This window comes from Homo sapiens, chromosome 12, assembly GCF_000001405.40.
Source record: "Homo sapiens chromosome 12, GRCh38.p14 Primary Assembly".
Classification (NCBI taxonomy): domain Eukaryota; kingdom Metazoa; phylum Chordata; class Mammalia; order Primates; family Hominidae; genus Homo; species Homo sapiens.
Window position 1 is genome coordinate 24,161,168 of NC_000012.12, and position 19,863 is coordinate 24,181,030.

General features: G+C 38.0%; 1 protein-coding gene across 20 annotated transcripts in view, besides 2 other annotated features; it reads right to left on the reverse strand.

The window, feature by feature from the left end:
* SOX5 (SRY-box transcription factor 5) overlaps positions 1-19,863 on the reverse strand; it is a 1,033,147-nt gene that overhangs the window by 631,664 nt on the left and 381,620 nt on the right. The window lies entirely within an intron of this gene.
* Positions 11,954-12,154: a silencer, noted in NCBI's record as "peak1614 fragment used in MPRA reporter construct". NCBI's record gives its function as "represses an SCP1 promoter by STARR-seq MPRAs in K562 erythroleukemia cells {active_cell/tissue: K562}" and the evidence as "EXISTENCE:reporter gene assay evidence [ECO:0000049][PMID:32103011]".
* Positions 16,822-16,871: a silencer, noted in NCBI's record as "silent region_4290". NCBI's record gives its function as "represses an Ori minimal core promoter by ATAC-STARR-seq in GM12878 lymphoblastoid cells {active_cell/tissue: GM12878}" and the evidence as "EXISTENCE:reporter gene assay evidence [ECO:0000049][PMID:35858748]".

Below are 19,863 nucleotides of genomic sequence, written 5' to 3' on the forward strand. Positions count from 1 at the left end.
CTTCCAAAGGGCCTTTTCCAGAGGGTCTTAAATCTCCCACTTATTGACCATATAACCTTGGACAAACAAGTTACTTCTTACTGAACTTCAGCTGTCGTGACAATAAAACAGAATAATAAAAGTGCCTTTGGCATTGTCCAGCAGTCTTATAAGTCCCACTCTCCATCAGATATTTGAAGATAGCTACTATATCAAGCAGAAATGTCACATAGGCCATGTTTCACAGATCAGCTTTGAAGTATACAGAGTTTGAAACTCTGAATATACCCATAGGATCTGTTTATTAGAGCAGAGAGTATAAGCATTGAGAAGGTCAGAGCCAAGGCCAGTATGTTTACTATTAATGAACATTAGCTAAAGAGACTAAATAATAATAGTTGGATAGAAATCAATTAAGAAATAATATTATAAAAAGTCAGGAGATGAGAGGTTCAAGTGGTTGGATACACCCAATAGAATCAAATGTTGCAAAGAGGAAAAGCAGAGTGACTACTAATAACATTTTCTTAAAGTAGACAATTTAAAAGTCATGGCTCATAATTTAAATTGTCATCCATAAAACTGATAAAGATTAACAAAGTTAATACACAGTTGTTAGTGAGGGTCCAGGGAAAAGGGAAATTCACACTCTGTTCTTCAGAATGTCCACTGGAGTCATGTAGTATCCAATAACAAAAGCCCCAAAGTGTGTACATACACTTTCCTAACAATTCCAAATTCAAGAAGTCTTCTCAAAAAAGTCAGAACTCTAGAAGCAACCTAAGGATACAAAAATATGGTTTTGAAGAAAAATTTATGGTTAATGGGAAAATTTAATAGAAATCATTGGTAAGGAGAATTCTGGGCAATGCTGAAGACATTTTATTCCCTCAAGAATACTGGCAGTAAACAGAAGGAAAGAGATCGGTAAAAGAGACATTAGAAAAATCTTGAGCCTGGATTGGTCACTGAATTTTTTTTTGACAGTAATTAAGTTTTAAAAATCCTACTAGGGTTCAAGAGTTTTGACATGTTTTCTCCATTGTGCTTTTATAGAAAGAGATACAATAGACCAGAGCCTCTTTAGCAAACAGATCAGGTACTCTAAAATCTCTAGCTAATCTAATGATAAACAAAGGTTGAGAATGCTTCTGGATTAATAAGCTAGTGCATATTATTTAAGTACACTTATCTAGTTTTATCCAAAGTCATCCTCATAATTAGACAAAAGTAATGACTCCTAAGTAAGTCTGATATCAGGGTTGATAGAGAAGACAGTGTTCAGTTGTTGAGAACTTTTGGTCCATAACTATTGGCACAGATTTTCCTCAAATGGATACATTAGTCTAAATGCCATAGAGTAAGGAGAAATAGTAATGAGGAAACTTAACAACTTATTTTCTCAAAGTAACTGTAAACCACCATATTCTGTATTTCTAATTAGGAAAAAACCGTGGCTTACAATTCCATCAGGGCAGAGCCACGATCGTGTGAATATTATCCTTTATCCTCTGGGAAAACAAACTATGGCTAACTTGGTCCATGTAAAGGACATATATTGTTTTGGGAAGGAATCCTTTTTTTACTCCCCTTTTCTCTCAAGGTTATGGGTTACCTATTTTGTCCTGTGGAATCTTTAACAACAAACATACCTGAAGACCCATTTTCAACAGGTTTTGTCAGTTTCAAAGAGCTAAGGAGTCACTGCCTGGTGGGTCATCCACTTCCGACAGAGAAGGGTGACCCAGATGATGGGCACTGATGCCCTCAGCCTTCTTCACTTCAGTAGAATTCATCTGGCCTTTTTTTGGTTTGTTTCCAATGTAGGTAAATGAGCTCTGCAAATATTAACCGGTGTCAGGCATGCTGTGAGCCTCTTCCTAACGAGGCCCTAAGGACGTAAGCTGGAGGAGCTATTTCAGCTGGTCTAAAGGCACTACCTAACAGTCAGACTTTTAATTTCACTTAAGTGCAAATCAGAGAAGGATAGTCCTGGAAGGCTTTTTAAATATGAAGGAATAAACTCAAATCATAGCATAATTCAGTTAATGACACAATAGGGCTTTCAGAAATGACCTAAGGCAAATGATAAAGCAATGATTAAAACAAAAAACAAATCCCAAACTAGTCACACAGCATTATGAAGGTCTGTTATTTTGAAGTGCTCCTTTGCAGACGTGTCTACATTTATCTTAATAAACAGTAGGCCTGATCCAGGATCTGGGAGGTAGCCATATGATAATGATCTTGGTGCCAGACCTATTTGAAGATACTGTATTAGAAAAGATCAAACTTCAGCAAAGTTCTTTTTGTCTACTCATCACACTCCTGCATTTTGGGCCTTCTAATTTTTAATTCCTTTTTTTTTTTTTTGATATTTATTCCGAGCTTTATTCTACAATCTCTGCCTTATAGATTCATGCCGCATTATCTGGCTTGGGTCATAAGCTCCTAGAATACGAGGATTCTATCAGTCTAAATGGCTTTAAAGAGTATGAAAACAGCATGGGGCATAGGACTTCAAAATGTTTTTCTGATGATGATTAATCTCTTCTGAAAAGTTAGCAGCAGCCAATCAAATGATAAAAATAATAATTTTTTCTTTAGCCTCTTGTTCAGTGCTTTTATCTGCTTTAAAAAGTATATGTATGGGTCTCTCTCTCTCTTTCTCTCTGTCTTTGCCCATTTCTTTATCTAGCTCCATATTTCTCTCTATATCCCCAGGCAGAGAAAAGCAGCAGAATGCCCTGGTTCTGCAATTTGTGAAAAAACAAAAAGGCAGACATCATTCAAATAATTTATCAAAATTATTTCAATAGAAGAGAAATTATACGGTATAAATTAAATAGTATAGTATATGATACAGGATACTTCAGTACTTTATTACAAAAATAATCATATATATTTGCCCATGGAACAAATAATCCTCTACTTATGGTCTCAGAGAATGATCTATAGTGAGGAAATATTCCATAAGTTTGTACCTTTCACTCCATTTTCTTCAACAAGTCCCCAGATACACAATAATACCGTTTTCTATGACACAGAACACACTGGCTGTTATGAGACAGAAGTAAAATACCCATCAGTAGAACTGTAGCTGATGTTTTATTGTTCAAACATACACATTTCAGAGTATATAAAGTTAAAGCTTTCTTCCTTAAATATTGTCATGTCTAAACATTACAATAATATATGCTTTCCTTTTTAATTAAGAAAGCTCCAACATACATATATATTTTATCTAATTTCTCACTCCTAGGCATGTAATATTCACTTTTGAAACAAAAATAATCATTTAACTTATTTACCAAGGAGAAAAATAGTAATGTTGTCTATTTAACTGTATGCCCTGTGAAATTCAGTTAAAGGAAAAAATTGTAAATTAGATTCACCTGTCCCAGTTGCTAATCACTCTGGTGTCCCTGAATGGAAACAAGTACTTAATTTATACCAAATCACTATCAATGAGCTAATTATCAAGTCACTACTTGTGTATAAGCATTCATGACAAGAAAGTGAAAACTGAGGAAATAGATTGGCAAATATTTAAGGGTTACTTTTCACTTGTGTTATCTAAATGCTTCCTACCTCAATATATTATTGCTTCATTCCCCTACTTTTCTGTTTTAAATTATGAATTGTGGGTAAAAAGTGGTTAATGTGTCATTTGTTTAAATGCTTTCAAAAAAAGAATTCTTCTTTATGACATATTTTCCTGTTATATTGAATGGAACTAATGGCAATTTGTTCTCATTATTTTACAAGAAGGTATCTTTGAAAGTAATATATTTTTTAAAAAGTCCAGAGTGTAAGAAAGCAATATAAAGTATGTTTAAAGGCATTTTTTTAGTATACAGGAAACTAAATATATTTCTAGATATCTTGCAAACACCTTTTCCTTGAATCATTTATTTACAATGGGTACATAAACACAGTAACATTCACATTTTCAAAGTGGTATTTCAAAAACTTTGTGCATATGCCTAGTTAACATTTGCCTTATTTCTGTGAGGTAAAATAATACCTATTATTAAATGTTTTGATATCATGTGTTCCCATGACAACATAATCAGTTTTTCAATATAACAAACATTTGCTGAGTGCCTAGTATGTATAAAGCATGGAATTATGGGCTATGGAGCTTATAAAATAAACACACACAGTTCCTGCCCTGAAGATGCTTAAAACTGAAGGATTATTTATTTGCATTTATGAATCCCACAAATGTTTCATAAACCATAAAAATTCCTATTTTATTTCTGAAATGATATTCTATATCAGACTATTCTAGATTATTTAGATTTACCAGTCCAATGGATTCAAATATTGCTTTTAGAAATTCAATGCCCTCATTTTCACTGTTTTTATTCTAATGGATCAAAATAACTATAAGTCAAAATGTATGTGACACTTCTATTGCATAGTTTTTGATTTGTGAAGGAGTACAAGATAACTGTATTTCTTACAGTCTGAAAGGAAGTATAGAGGCACATCAAAGGACAGGACTGAGAAGGGCATTCCAGGCATGCAGAAATACATAGGAAAAGATGTGTAGGTTGATATGGCTGGAGTTTGGCAGAGCCAACGGTGGGGAAGAGGGGAAGAGGAAGAAGAGAAAGAAAGGGCTGTAGAAGATCATCTTTAAAGGGTAGTAGTTATTAGTTTAACAAATCAAGACTTTTGAAGCCATGCTAAGGAGTTTATATTTAATCTAAAAATTAAGGCAGGTCACCAAAGGATGTGATGGAAAATAGATATATATATGAAATATGTGAGATTAGGGAAGATGTGACAAACATGTAGAGGATGTTTTGGAAAACAACCATACTAGAAGCAGCGATATGTTTAAAGAGATAGTACAATAACCCAGGAAAACATCATTAAGGTAAATGAACTGGGGTAGTGGAAGAAGAGACATAGAGGAGGAGCTGGGCTGGAAAGAAACGTAGAAAGGAGAAGGGAAAGAATACGATGACACTGGATGTGGGGAAGGGTGGTGGGTTGGGAATGACAAATGGGTTTTGGCTTGAGTGCCATTTGTAAGTAAGAGATGGAAAATACAAGAAGAGGAGTGACTTTTATGTGTTTCTTCATAGAAGAGGGAGAGAGTAGTGTGGAATCATGAATTGTTTGAGACATGCTATGTTTGAGTTGTCTGCGAGATATCCAAGTGAAGATGTTCAGCCAGCCAATGAATATACAGACCTCCCGTTCAAGAGAAAAGTGTGAGGTGGAAATATAAATGTGTGTGTCATTAGCATATACGTTGATAAATGAAATCTTGAATGTGAATGAGATTCTCAGGAAATATAGAGCAATACAAGAAACAGTGAGAGAGAGCGAGCATTAAAACAACTTTAGCCCCCCTAATTTCCCAAGCCTTACACTAATGATAAGATCACCTAAGTTTTGATGAGCAATTAACTCCATTCAGGTCGCCATTATCTATAGCACCTCTTCTTTCTCATTGATATTTGCCAGTGATTTCAAAACTCAGTCCTATTTTTGCTTATTTTAATTTTGTCCCATTTACTATCACCCAAAATCATGTTTTTAAGACTTACGCATGCTATTGCACATAAAGCTAATTCATTCATTTTAACGAACACGCATTGTTTGCATGCTCTTTGTTTACTCATTCCTCCCTTGGTAAATATTAGATGATTTCTACTTTTTTGCTACCAAAAACAGTGTTGTCTTTTTGTCACCTCTTTGAGCACATAAGCAAAGTGTTCTATGAGGAGGTATTTACTTGGAACTGGAATGATTCAGTGCTCAGAATGCCCATTTATATGATTTCAGGAGAAAAGGAGTGAGATGGAGGGTTAGTGAGTGAATACAAAAGAGGAAAATATGCTTTTGAAGGAAATAATATATATGAAAATATGTTTAAGCTGTAAAATGTCATTTGGATGCTAGCTATCATTAACATTATTTTCTTTCTTTCTAAACCAACTTTATTTTATTCAGTTCTTGTCTGTGTAATACGACAAGGACCAAAATGTTACTTATTTCCCAAATGACATTCTATCTTTAGGAGGATAACGATAGTTGTATGATTTTTTACAAGGAAATCATGGTGAAATAAATTTGGGATGTGATACATAATATGTGCATTTCCTGCAGTACTGAAATTTATACTAAATATATTAAAAGCTCCAAGGATTGTTATTTAAGTTTGTTTAACTCAGTATTTGACAAACTTATTTTACCTAGGAACCTCTTCCAAACACACCTATTAACAATTTATAGAACTAGTGGCCTGTGGAGCAGGTTGGAAGAGATAAGCTGAATTCAGAATTCACTGCTGAGCTGATAAAACCTTCAGAAGCAGCACTGTGATTTCTACTGGCCCTTCTGGACTTGCCCCTGGTAATGTGATGTTAATGTGTCCCCTTCCACTCTTTCTCCGGACTCTGCCACATTCTAAGAATTCTACTTGAGAATATATCACAAAGCAAAATGATTTCTGTCTCTCAATGCCAAATCTTAAATGAGTCTACAGAAGGTACACATTTTCTTTGTTTTACTAAAAACAGCAACGTATTATTCTAAACATTTATTTTGTTTCGATCTAGTCCAGCTATTGAGCTCTTTATTTTCTTAACAAACATGACATAGTGCTTACTATATGTCAATCACTATTTTCTTTACTTATATACATCCCCTCAACCGTCCTATAAGAGTCTAATTATCCCCAGTTTGCAGAAGGGCAAGGTGGGGCTGAGAGAGAGAAAGGGAAAGAGCCAGGGTGCAAACCCAGACATTTGCTGGTTCCTCAACGTTCTCACTGCCATCTGGCCCCCAAAGGCAAAGCACAGACTGCCATCTCTTAGAGGAAAGGATGTTCCTTGTTTTGGCATCACCTCAATTCTTTTTTTCTTTTCAAAGAAGGGAAGGCAAGGGGCTGAGGGGAGGGAAACAGGGATGCATTTCTGTTTTCTGGTATCATTATACATTATTTAAAATTTATGCATATTTTGGAAAACTAGTTGACCTGACAAGAATAAGACAGTCTAAACTTGTAGAGTTAAACAGTCCCTCCATGGTGAGATTTTAGACTGATTCAGAGTTGTGTTAACCTAATGACTGACACACTTTATTGTGGATTGTAGTAAATAACAACAAAGCTAGGTTTTATGATGCTTTTCTCCTACTAAATGTGTGTCACAGCCATTTACAAACCCATTTGGTGCAATTCTTATCCTTGAGGTTTATTTATTTGCTTTTTAAAATATATTGCATTGTCTTATTTTAAAAAAATCGTCAACAGAAATAATTGCAAGGAATTGTGGAAAAGATCAATGGCCTGTAATTTGTATTTCAATAGAGATACTAAAATAAGCTGCTTTTATTTTTTATTTATTTTAGAGGATGGTTTCAAAGCCTTCTTTTGACAGCTACCACAACCCTATACTGAAGCAGGAATGGCTTGGAAAAAATCTCACTCTCCCAAAATATCAATAAAATGAGCAAGAAAAATTAGCTTCACAGCAGGCCACTTTAATGAGACACAGAAGAAAATTGGACAAGGCAGATAATATGATGGCTTTTGGAATATAATAGAGAATAGAATTAGTAAGTATAAAAGAAGCCCCATCATTGTATAAACCAAACGCCCACGGTGGGAGGAAAATCTTACATATCTATGAAATGATGGGCAGGCGTGCATGTGCCTGTAGGTCAAAGGATACATTCTTTTGTATGTATTTCTGTATGTGGATGCAAATGTGTCCATATAGATTATTCCATGCAAAACCTAGTATGCTATCCCTATCACAACAACAAATAAACATTATTACTACAACCCAACTTTCCAAAAAAAAAATAATAATAAGATAGGGTAGGTGTAGCTCTTGAATGTAATGTAACATTTCCTAAGTAGAAAAATCAACTGCTTTCAGATGTGAAACTACATTGTAGAAGAAAGTGAAGTGATTCTTATAGTGAATAGCGACAACCACATAAAAATGAAGGATCTCTTAGGATTAAAAGGTCCTTCTCAAGTAAATAGAAGTCATTTTTATTATGACAGACATAAAGGTCACCAACTTTTGCTATATTCTCAGTGGAAGAAAATAAGGTACTGATTTATAAATGTATTATTTAAAATTTCACATGCCTAACAGACACATCTTATAGAAAACTTCATGAGATATTTTTAAAGTCTTCGGGAAAAGAAATTCACTTCAAATCATTATTGTCAAAATCCATTATCAACTCTCAAGCAGGTCATAAAGACTCTGAGCTATGTCTTCAAAAATTCAAGCTGTTATATAGTAAATTCTCACTCCAAATCAGTTCCTCAGAGATAGTGTTTTAAGTAAGTGATACTTCAAAAGAAACCACTATCCACAACTGTTTTACTCGGCCATGATCTTCATAGTGTTTACAGGGCATTAGCATCTTCCCACACAATGTGTTTTGGTTCCTGTCCTCGTTCATTCATCCAACATGTATTTTACATGTGTTGTCCAGCACTAGGCTAAAGATAGAAAATTAGACAAGAAATGAGAAGTATTAAAAGTGTAGTGGCTCTGGAATTAAAAGGACCTAGATTAGGATGCCACGTGCGATGCTGCATAATGGTAGCCTTGAGCAAATTATTCCCCTCAAAGATATCAGGGGTCTTCTAGCCGTTTGTTTATAAACTTTGTTTCACTACAGATACATAGTAAATGATGGATCTGACTGATCTAAGCTATGTCATGCCATCCTCGCCACCCCAATCTCAAGGCTGTCCAGCCTTATACTTGTCCAGCTATTTGGAGGGCTGGCGGAATGAATTCGTTAGGTGTATTGTTGCCTGAACCACAAAGGGCGTCCTGGGAGAAAGCAATAACGGAAGCTAATAAACTAAGTGTAAGGATAATGAATTTTTTTTCAGAGGAGAGTGGCACCTTTAAGTACAGCAGGTTTCATAGCTTAAGATTGTTTCCTGACCCCGCCGTTTTTCTCAGGGGCTCGTGTCAGAGTCCTTGGGAAAGGGAAAGACAAAAATGAAATAAAAGAGTGGTTTCACAGCGTTCAGGAGGAACATTGGAAAACACAAGGCAGCTCTCCTCTGCCATCCGCAAAATAGCAGGCAGCGCTAGTGCAAGGACAGGGAACTTGCGCCACATCTGCAAGGCAACTGTAGGGTGGCCGGTGACATTTCTGCATTAGTCAGTGCAAAGGAGGAGAATGGGGCAAATGCCACAGAACAAACCAGGCGCCATGCTTGTGAACACTCATGAGACCCAGAGTCCGGTAGGAAGAAGACAGGAGTAAGGGCAGAAGTCACTGCTCTTCTCGATAAGGAAAACCTGATTTTACCCTCAGACATACACAGAACCAGGAGAAGCAGACTTAAAATGTGCCCTTAGGACCTCTGTCACTTGTGTTCCACGTGTTTCTGATGGCATTTGCAGCCCACTGCACACCCCGTCGGCCCACACATGTACCTATTTGAATTTGAGTGATAAAACTTGAAAACCAATGAGATTTATAGTACTTGGTTTGCATTTAAACAAAAAGTCTCCATGATTTGTAATAGATAAATTATCAAGCGCATTATGAATACATATGGTACAAAATTATCTCCCCAATTGTCAGAAATAATGAAATTTGGCTTTCAGTAGTGTAGTCAAAGTGAAGCACTGGATTCAGAGGACACAGAATATTGCGGTGCCACTAATGAGACGCCTTGGCCAAGCCACTGCTGCACCTACCTACACTACTTCATCTACAACATCGTTATAAATTCATGTGGAATTGGGCAATAATTGCCCCTTCCCCAAACCACCATTACTAGAAATGTGGCTTAGCAAATAGCTATCCCACTGAAGCACCATTTCTAGCTCTTCTTGCTCTAGTGGGCTTCCAGAGTACAGTGGTCCTAGGTAGGCTTGGTAGTTAAACTAGGTGCTGTAGCAATGGGGCAAAATGGACACTTTGATTTATTCCCTACTTATTTTACTCTAAGCCTTTCCCTCTGCTCCCAAGATCTATTTTTTTTTTTTTTTTTTGCTAACTTCTAATAGTGATTTTAGTTTTTTCTTTTATTTCATTGGCCAACAGTTTTTTTTGTTTGTTTGTTTGTTTTTTTTTTTGGAGACAGAGTCTCGCTCTGTCACCCAGGCTGGAGTGCAGTGGCCCAATCTTGGCTCACTGCAACCTCCGCCTCCCAGGCTCAAGCAATTCTCCTGCCTCAGCCTCCCGGGTAGCTGGGACTACAGGCACATGCCACCGCACCCGGCTAATTTTTTGTATTTTTAGTAGAGACGAGGTTTCACCATGTTAGCCAGGATGGTCTCGATCTCCTGACTTCGTGATCCACCCGCCTCGGCTTCCCAAAGGGCTAGGATTACAGGCGTGAGCCACCATGCCTGGCCAGCCAACAGACAGTTTTTAAAGTGTTGACTATGATTTGCTCAGAATTTTATGAGGCAATGGAGAAAAACGAGACAGAAACGGCTTTCATATGCGCTTTCTGAAGGAAGCAATCCTAATGCAATGATAACACTGAATGTTTAGCATGGGAGTGTGAATAGGGGGCTAGAGAAGCATATAAAGAAGGGACCCTTTGGCCAGGTGCAGTGGCTCATGCCTGTAATCTCAGCACATTGGGAGATTGAGGCAGGAGGATTGCTGGAGCCCAGGAGTTCGAGGGCAGCCTGGGCAACACAGCAAGACCCTGTCTCTATTTTTAAAAAAAAGAAGAAGAAAGGACCCTGACGCACTCTGATTGAGGGGGAAAGTTTCCATTTTCACAGAGAAAGTGGCATTTAAGTTGAGTCTTGAAGTTAGGGTTAGAGTTTATGAGGTTTTCTACAGAGAAAGACAAAAACAAGCAAAAGGCAGAAAATGTGCATAGATGCTAGAGAATATGAGAACTTGCCACTTTGAGGAATGAGGGATAATGTACTATGGCTGGAGAACTGTGTGTGCGTGTGTGTGTGTGTGCGTGCGCGCGTGTGTGTCTGTGTGCTGTAAGCAGGCTTGGGGATTGGAAGTAGTGACAAATTCCGTAAACTAAATTTGCATTTAAATAAACCCTGGAGAGTCCCAGGACTTCAAGCAGGGGAGTCATAGAGTAACACTTCCTTTTAGAAAGTTTCAGTTTGGGCCGGGCGCAGTGAGTCACGCCTGTAATCCCAGCACTTTGGGAGGCTGAAGCAGGAGGATCCCTTGAGCCCAGTAGTTTGAGACCAGCCTAGGCAACATGGTGAAACCCTGTCTCTCCAAAAAAACTACAAAAATAAGCCGGGCATGGTGGTGCATGCCTGTGGTTCCAGCTACTCAGGAAGCTGAGGTGGGAAAATCACCTGAGCCCAGGAAGTCGAGGCTGCAGTGAGCTGTGTTCGTGTCATTGCACTCCAGCCTGGGTGACAGAGGGAGACCCTGTCTTAAGAAAAAAGAAAAGAAAAGAAAGATAAGAGAAAGAAAAAGGAAGTTTCAGTTTGGATCGGAGGAACTGAAAGAGGGAAATTAGTGAGAAGTGTTGTTCACAGCAACAGGCAAGGGATTCCCTCCTGGCAGAAAGAGAAAAATCTCTGAGGGAAAAGCAGAAAGATGCAGAAAGTTACTGTCCCCACTGTGAAGAGGATGTGAGATTTTAAACATCAGAAATTTCAACTCAAATAAGTTTGAAAGAAGCAAACAGGTCCAATAAAAGAGAGTCAATTAGGCTATGAAAGCAGAGTTTTCTCAAGAGAATGAGAAAGGTCATCAATTCCCCAGGGACAAGGATGCTAAATCTTTATTATTTTCCCCTCAATGAAACTTTATTATTAAAAGCACCCTAGGAACCTTTTCATAAATTAGGTGCTTCTGGTAGAAGTCTCACTTTTTATTTTAATTTCCTACAGCAGGAATTCCAGAAGTTAAAAATCATGTTTACTGGGAGGAAGGGGTAAAACCTAGAGAGATTAGGAAGTTGAATTCCAAAAGGGTGGTCCAGAGTATTCACAATCACACTCCCGTGCCATCTTCCTCTCCTTTCACCTCATCTAACCCATCGCATCGTCCCACCCTCTCGCACATGTGTACACTTGAGTTTTGAGCCATAAATCTTGCAAACTCTGTCAACTGACAGCCTAATAGCATGAAAGAAGTATCTGCAAACAAGATGGTTTCGAGCCATTGCTCATGACCCCGAACAAATCAGGGCCTGGTTCCCGTTGAAGTTTGGAGTCTCCCCTTTAATCACTTCACTGGACAGACTGATGTGACACTTAAGAAATAAACTAAAAGGTCTGTTTTCCAGCTATCTGCTGGTCTCATTGACTCTTTCCCTAACAGTTAAGTTGAGCTTGTCATATTTTGAGACCTAATCAATGTATAAATGAGGGGCAGCTGATACGCTGGCCTTTTCTGCTCATATTAGTTATTCACAAGGAATGCAGCCTTTTCCAGCTTTCTACCTGGTAATCAGTGAGGAGTATTCATATAGCAACATGGTGAGGTTAAGAGCTAAGGCCATGGTTATCAATCTTGGGTGCACAGAAAAAAATTGCCTGAGGAGTTCAGTAGTTGCTGGGGTCAGGGCGGGGGAAGTGATATTTTAATATTTTAATACAGATGCTGGGGCCTTAAACCAAACCTAATAAATTAGAATTTCTGGGTGTGAGGCTCAGGAATTTTTATGAACGTCCACTGTAAATTCTGATGTTCAGTCATAGTTAGGAATAAGAAGTTATCCCGGATATTCATCCAGTTACTACCAGCCGTGGAAAATGATGATCCACAAAGCAATGTTTCCCTGGGAGCAGCATGCAAAAGTGCAATTTCCTGGGAACCACTGAGCCCTACTGAATCAGAATCTTGGGCAGTGTGACCCAGAAATCTAAGGGTGCTTTTTTTGTTTGTTTTTTTGTTTTTTTTTTCTGAGACAGTCTCACTGTGTCACCCAGTCTGGAGTACAGTGGTATAATCTCGGCTCACTGCAACCTACGCCTCCTGGGTTCAAGTGATCCTCCAGCCTCAGCCTCCCAGGCAGCTGGGATTACTAGTGTGCCCCACCATACCTGGTTAATTTTTGTATTTTTAGTAGAGATGAGGTTTTGCCATGTTTGCCCAGGATGGTCTCGAACTCCTCAGCTCAAGTGATCTGCCCACCTTGGCTTCTCAAAGTGCCGGGATTACAGGTGTGAGCCACTGCACCCGGCAGAAATCTGAGTTTTGACAAACTTCTTAGATGAGTTTTAGATTCACCACCTTTGGAGAAACACTCTAAAGGACTTACAAATAGCTGCTTTGTTTTCTTACTATGCCATTTCTAGCAGATGTTATCATTACTTGGGGAGATAGAAGGAGTCTGGGAGAACTCAGTGAGACCAAACCAATTCTTGTTCCAGACATTAGTAAGAATACAGAATGAGTGGGGGGGGGAACCCACAAAACAAAAACAAGGCGGAAATAATTTTTCTGCCTTAAGAAAAGAGAACTTTGGGAGGCTGAGGTGGGCAGATCACCTGAGGTCAGGAGTTTGAGACCAGCCTGACTAACATGGTGAAACCCCACCTGTACTAAAAATACAAAATTAGCCAGGTGTGGTGGCTGGTGCCTGTAATCCCAGCTGCTCAGGAGGCTGAGGAAGGAGAATCGCTTGAACCAGGAGGCAAAGGTTGCAGTGAGCCAAGATTGTGCCGTTGCACTCCAGCCCGGGCCACAAGAGTGAACTTCCATCTCAAAAAAAAAAGAAAAGAAAAGGGACACTGCTTAATGGAGAAAATAATCACCAAGCACCCAATGAACAAGATTACAGAGCCACAAAAAGAAAAGTGCAGAAACAGGAAGGGGGTACCTTGCAGCCAGTCTTCTTGACAAGTCATACTTCTGGAAGTTCATGTACAGAGACTAAAAGCTATGTTTTGATTATGAGGCATCCCTTCACAGGGCCTTACCTCAAAGCTCAGAAGTGTATTCCAGAGTTGTCCGAAAACTACATGGAGCATGCAAATATTTTCAACATTTGTTAGTTATATTTGGAATCATACTGTACATGGCAATTAAAGTTAAATATTCCTTCGCTTCACCTCATATTTTGTCTTTTTGGCATCCATGTTATTCAGTCCTCTAACATCTTTCATGTAGTGGGAACAATTTTCCAGCAGTTTTGCACATAGTATTTTCAGTTCAACTATAAGGATTGTGTAATATCTAAGTGGGGAACCCCATAAAAGAGAAAAGCAACCCAAAACAAAAATAAAACTGGGACATACCAAAAAAGTACGATGGATATTTGGGGTGACAGTGTTTCTCTGGAAGCAGTACTCTACTCTCAGAAGCTCTGTTTCCACAAGGGTGGAGAAACTGTCAGCTTCCTGTGCAGTAAGCACAGTGCATGCACGCTGGGAGCAAAGATCTACAGTCTTACACAAATACACACAGACACACCCTCATCCCTTGTATCCTTAGGTTATAAAATGCCACTTATAATCTATAAAATAGACTACATATATATCATCTATGTCATATATATTTTATTTGTATGTGTGTGTATATCTGTAGATCTATATACCTCTATCCATATTCCTCACATTCATTCCCTGTCCATCTCCAGTGGGCTCTACACAAAGACACAAGATTTGTGGAGCCAACACGAGAGGGGCCAACTGCCTTAGACCAGAGTATGGACTGTAAGATACATCAAGAAAATAAGGAATGGGTATTATCATTATCTCCTGACTGTACTAAAAATAAAAATGGTTTTCACTAGAGAGGGCTTCCCTAATGCCACAGATTTTGTATCTAGGGGCCTCTCTTACAAAAGGGACCCGAACAGCCAACTGGGCAATGACTCCTCTATCATGAAGTGGGCTAGTTTCTCTTCTCAAGGCAAGGCCCATCAAGATCCATTAAAAAAAAAATGAAACTCTTGAGACAGCAAAAATTGAGATTAAAATCTAAACGATAAGGCTGGGTACAGTGACTCACACCTGTAATTCCAACACTTTGGGAGGCTGAGGTGAACAGATTACTTGAGTTCCAGAGTTCAAGACTAGCCCGGGCAGCATGATGAAATCCCATCTCTACAAAAACTATAAATTAGCTGGGTGTGGTGGTGCATGACTGTAGTCTCTGATACTTGGGAGGCTGAGGTGGGACAATCGCCTGAGCCCAGGAAGTTCAGACTGCAGTGAGCCATGATCATACCACTGCACTCCAGCCTGGGTAACAGGACGAGACCCTGTTTTGGGGAAGAAAAAAAAATAACAAAACAAAACAAAATTCAAAGATAAAAATGTCGGGGTGGGGGAGTACATTTACAGTATAAAGCACACACATTTAAGTTTTCAAAGATGAGTAGAGAAACAGTATATGTTAAATAATATTTAAATACATAGTACTTTGTCTTAAACTAAATCATTGGCCACATGTGAATGTCATTACAGCCTGCTGTGGTTTAAGAAGCCCGCTACAATGAGCAAATTGCCTACAATGTGATTGTATGGCTGGTGCAAATAATCATATGGTCTATGACCCATGGACTAAAGAGGGTTTGAGTTTAAATGAAGACAGTCCACTGCTACATCCAAGCTCCTCACTGCAGTGGGAGTCTGCTCCTGTTCCTGGTATTTTCTTACATACATTGCACTAGGGGCAAAGATGTGGTGGCGAAGTGGAAGTCCAAGAGAATCTTGAACTTAGATGTCCTGGATTTCCCATATTTTGAATTCCCCATCCCTCCTAACACTCTAGTCCCTGGATCTGCAGCTTCAGGTTATAGACAAACAGCTTATTTCTGATGATTACTTGTCCACCAATAGACCAAAGCATTGTTTTAGGATGTGGTAATTTGTAGTACTTCATACTATGTTCAGAGCAGTCAAGTTTTGTTTTTTGTTTTTTTTTTTTTTTTTTGTCATCAATTTAGTTTAGATTTGGTAACTGAATGGAATAATCACAGGTCACTTCTTTATTCAAATCCATGTTGTGTTTGAAATACATCTTAAACCAAGGTAAGAACAAAATAACAGCATTGCTTGGGCCTTTCTTATGGGCTAAGGGATTATTAACATTATCTCACTCATTCTTCTCACTCACATAATTAGGGAGGTGCTATTACTACCTGCATTTTTTAGCTGAGGAAACTGAAGAAATGTAGAGGGTAGAAAACTTGCTTAAGATCCCATAGCTGGCTTATACATGTCAGAGCCTGACTTCAAATATAAGCAATCTAATTCCAAAGACCCCTTTTAACCACCATATTTCTATGTCTCATCTAGAAAGTACACTCAGAAAAATCATCATAAATACCCTAGAAAATGCAAATGTGATGTTTAAATTCACTGTGATACTTTATGGGGTATTGTCTAAACAGAAAATCATAGGAGCCTGAGTGCCAGGATAATCTAGAAATAGATCTCAAGGTTTCTATCTCCATAATCGTCTCTCTACATTTTGGACTTAGAGCCATGCTACTATTTTCATATTTAAAGGGTTGTTTTTATATTAAAGTTATGACTGTACTCAACTCTTTCTCCCATAAGTATATTCTGTGGGAGACTCTTCAGATAGTGCTCATATAGATAATGGTATAAAATTTTAGCTTGAGAGCTAAACAATAGGTCCTATTTTCGTTATTCTCTTGGGATAATAAAATTAATAACACTCACAGGGTCACTAGGCTCTTGTCAAACCACTTGGGATAATAAAATTAATAACACTCACAGGGTCACTAGGCTCTTGTCAAACCAGTCATTGAGTCTTTCTCATTCAAAAGATGCATTGCGATAATTGACCCAGGACTTTGTTTTAGTGTGTGTGTTTCAATAGGATCCTTACCAAAACATCAGAATAATACCAATCCTGAATAGCTTTGCCATTTGTTTCAAGGATGAACATAGCACTTTAATTTTCCAAACAGTGTGTCATTGCTACCACTCTCCAGGGCAGTCCAGGACAAAGGCAGTGAAACTGAAAACACTTGAAAATTCACAGTCATCAGTCAACAGCATTAATTGAGTGTCCATGTGGTTTGGAACCACAGTAACAAAGTTTCTTTACAGAAGTCTCAGTTCCAAACACTCAGTGTCATCTTGAGATCCCATCGGCCAACTTTCAGTTTGGAAAGTACAAACACCTTAGAGTAACAAAACAAGAGCTTGACTTTTTTTTTTTTTTTTTTTTTCCCATTTAAGCACTGCAAGTATTTATTTTTACAGATTCTATTGTTCTTTGGTGAAAATATCATGAAATGAAGATTCATTAGGAAAAGGGTAACATAGTGAAGAAGTTCCAGGTGCAGAGGCCTAGAGAAGTCATTCAAAGCACTGCAGTGAGCTGTTTAGCAAATGCTGTGTCCAAAGCAGCAGCCAATACTCAGCTTCTGCCTGGAGTTCCAAGCAGAACTGGGGAAGCTCTGTGCCAGAAAATACACTTTTTCAAGATAAGTGAGAAATACAGATTTTTATGTGACAGTTACTGATGTTTAAAGTTGGCAATTACTTCAAATATGATTTTTACAAACATTATGTAGGCCAGATTTGGCCCTTTGGTTAAAAACCCTTGTGAAAAGTATTTTAGATAAAAAAAAATCTTGTTTTCCTCCTAAAAACCTTTTATAGAAAAGAAAGCTAAGTTGTCTGGCACCTGCTAAGTGCCAGGCATTGTTCTATATGCTACTGTATAAAGTAGAATGAATTATTTCTATTGCACAGATGGAGAAACTAAGACAGAGATCAAGCAATAGTCCTATGATCACTCAGCTAGTGTATTCATCTAAGTCTGCCTGTCTTCAAAGCCATGTTTTCCCCCATGATACCCATCTTTGACAAGTTCCAGATAGATAGAAACAGAATTGGAGGACGATTTCAGTATATATAACCATCTGAAATAGAATTTGATACAAAATCAAGGTAAAATATATGGGATTTACCATCTGCAGAAAAAATGACAGAGAAATGGTTGGTCACATAAAAATGATATCAGCGGGCTTGTTACCTCTAATTAGATATCTCAAATGTTATCAAGGAAACTAAAACATAACTAACTGAAGTTCTTTAAACTGTGAGCTAAATAAACATTTAACATTGTAGAGCACTCTTTAAATATTCGAACAGTATCTAGAAAACCAAAACGCAAAAGAACCAAAGGAGAAGAATCAATTTTTGTAACACTTTCCATGGAAAAGGTGCCCTGGTATGTTACCTTGACATTTCATTGCACACAGATGGTCCTGACTTAAAATAGTTCGACTTACAATTTTTTTGGCTTTACCACAGTACAAAATGATATGCATTCAATAGAAATCATACTTTGAATTCTGATCTTTTCCCAGGCTATCAATATGTAGTAGGATACTCCCTTGAGATGATAGGCAGTGGTAGTGAGCTGTAGCTCCTAGTCAACCACGCAACCATGAGGGTAAACAACTAAGACTCTGCAATGCACTGTGTTGCCAGAGCTTTTCGGATATTGTATTTTGTGTTTTTGCATCCCATCATGTATACAAAATGCCCATCTGTGTCTCCTGATTCTGGTACAGTATTCAGTAAATTAGATGAGATATTCAACACTTTATTTGAAAAGGCTTTGTGTTAGATAATTTTGCCCAGCTGTAGGCTAATGTAAGTGTTCTGAGCACATTTAAGGTAGGTGCGGCTAAGCTATGGTGTTCATAGGTTAGATGTATTAAATGCTTTTTCAATTCCTGACATTTTCCACTTAGGATAGGATGTGTTTATCAAAAGGTCAACCCACCCATTGTAAGTTGAGGAGCATCTGTATTCTGGTCTATTGTGAGTTAATGAATTAACTCTTCTGAGGGAGAGAAAGGCATATTAGGCCTTATAATCTTTTTTTTTATTAAAAAAAAAAAAGAAAAGAAAAGTTATGGGACCTCACTCCATTGCCCAGGTTATGCAGTGGTAGTATCATCGCTCACTGCATCCTCGACCTCCCAGGCTCAAGCAATCCTCCCACCTCAGCCTCCCAAGTAGCTGGGATTATAGGAATTATAGGATTATAGGAAAAGTTATGCCCAGGTAACTTTTAATGTTTTGTACAGATGGGGTCTTATTATGTTGCCCAGGCTGGTCTCAAATTCCTAGGCTCAAGGCTCAAGGGATCCTCTCGCCTTGGCTTCCCAAAGGAATAAGCTATCATGCCTGGTCATTAGTTAAAACCATTTTACGGCTTCTCCCTCCATGTTCATGAAACCATCTTCATAAACATAGCAACAAACAGCCCAAGGAGACCTTCCTACTGATGAGATTTCTAGTTATCTTGGTAATTAAATGTCTCAACTAAATATATATATGTCTTGTAAATTCAGTTAACATGAATTAGTCCCCAGAATCCTGTAACTCCTAAAATAACTACTGCAAATAAGCTTCTAAGTCCTAAGTCTAAGGACTTGTTGTGGCTGTACAGACCTTTCCCAGCATTCGTTTAGCCCAGTCTGGAAGTTTACAATCCCTTGACAGCAATGGGGTATGCAGTGCCCCTTTTATAACTGTCGTTACTATGCCACTTTACTTCATTCTCTCAGTTAACATACCATTGAGTTTCTTCTTCATCCTTTTCCCCTATCCAAGCATCAATTTAAGCTGCATAGAAATTAAAATACTGCTGTTATAAATCATAAACATCTATTTCACAAAATATATTCAAAATTATCTGACTGTACATTATACTTCAGTTTCACATCATACATGCATTTTTATGAGAATTTCAACTATTTTCATATAGGAAAAATAGGACAAAGTCTAAGTAGTTAATGTAACCCATATAATTCTACCACCATTCTACTCAACTCACCCATGGCTCACACAGGAGATGTGAATTTGTAGTTGAATTCGTCTCAGATCTCCTATGCATCTCATTGTATAAGCATCTCGCCATTAGAATGATTCTGGTGTTTAAAGAGAAGTATTTTTCATGTTGCTTCTTATT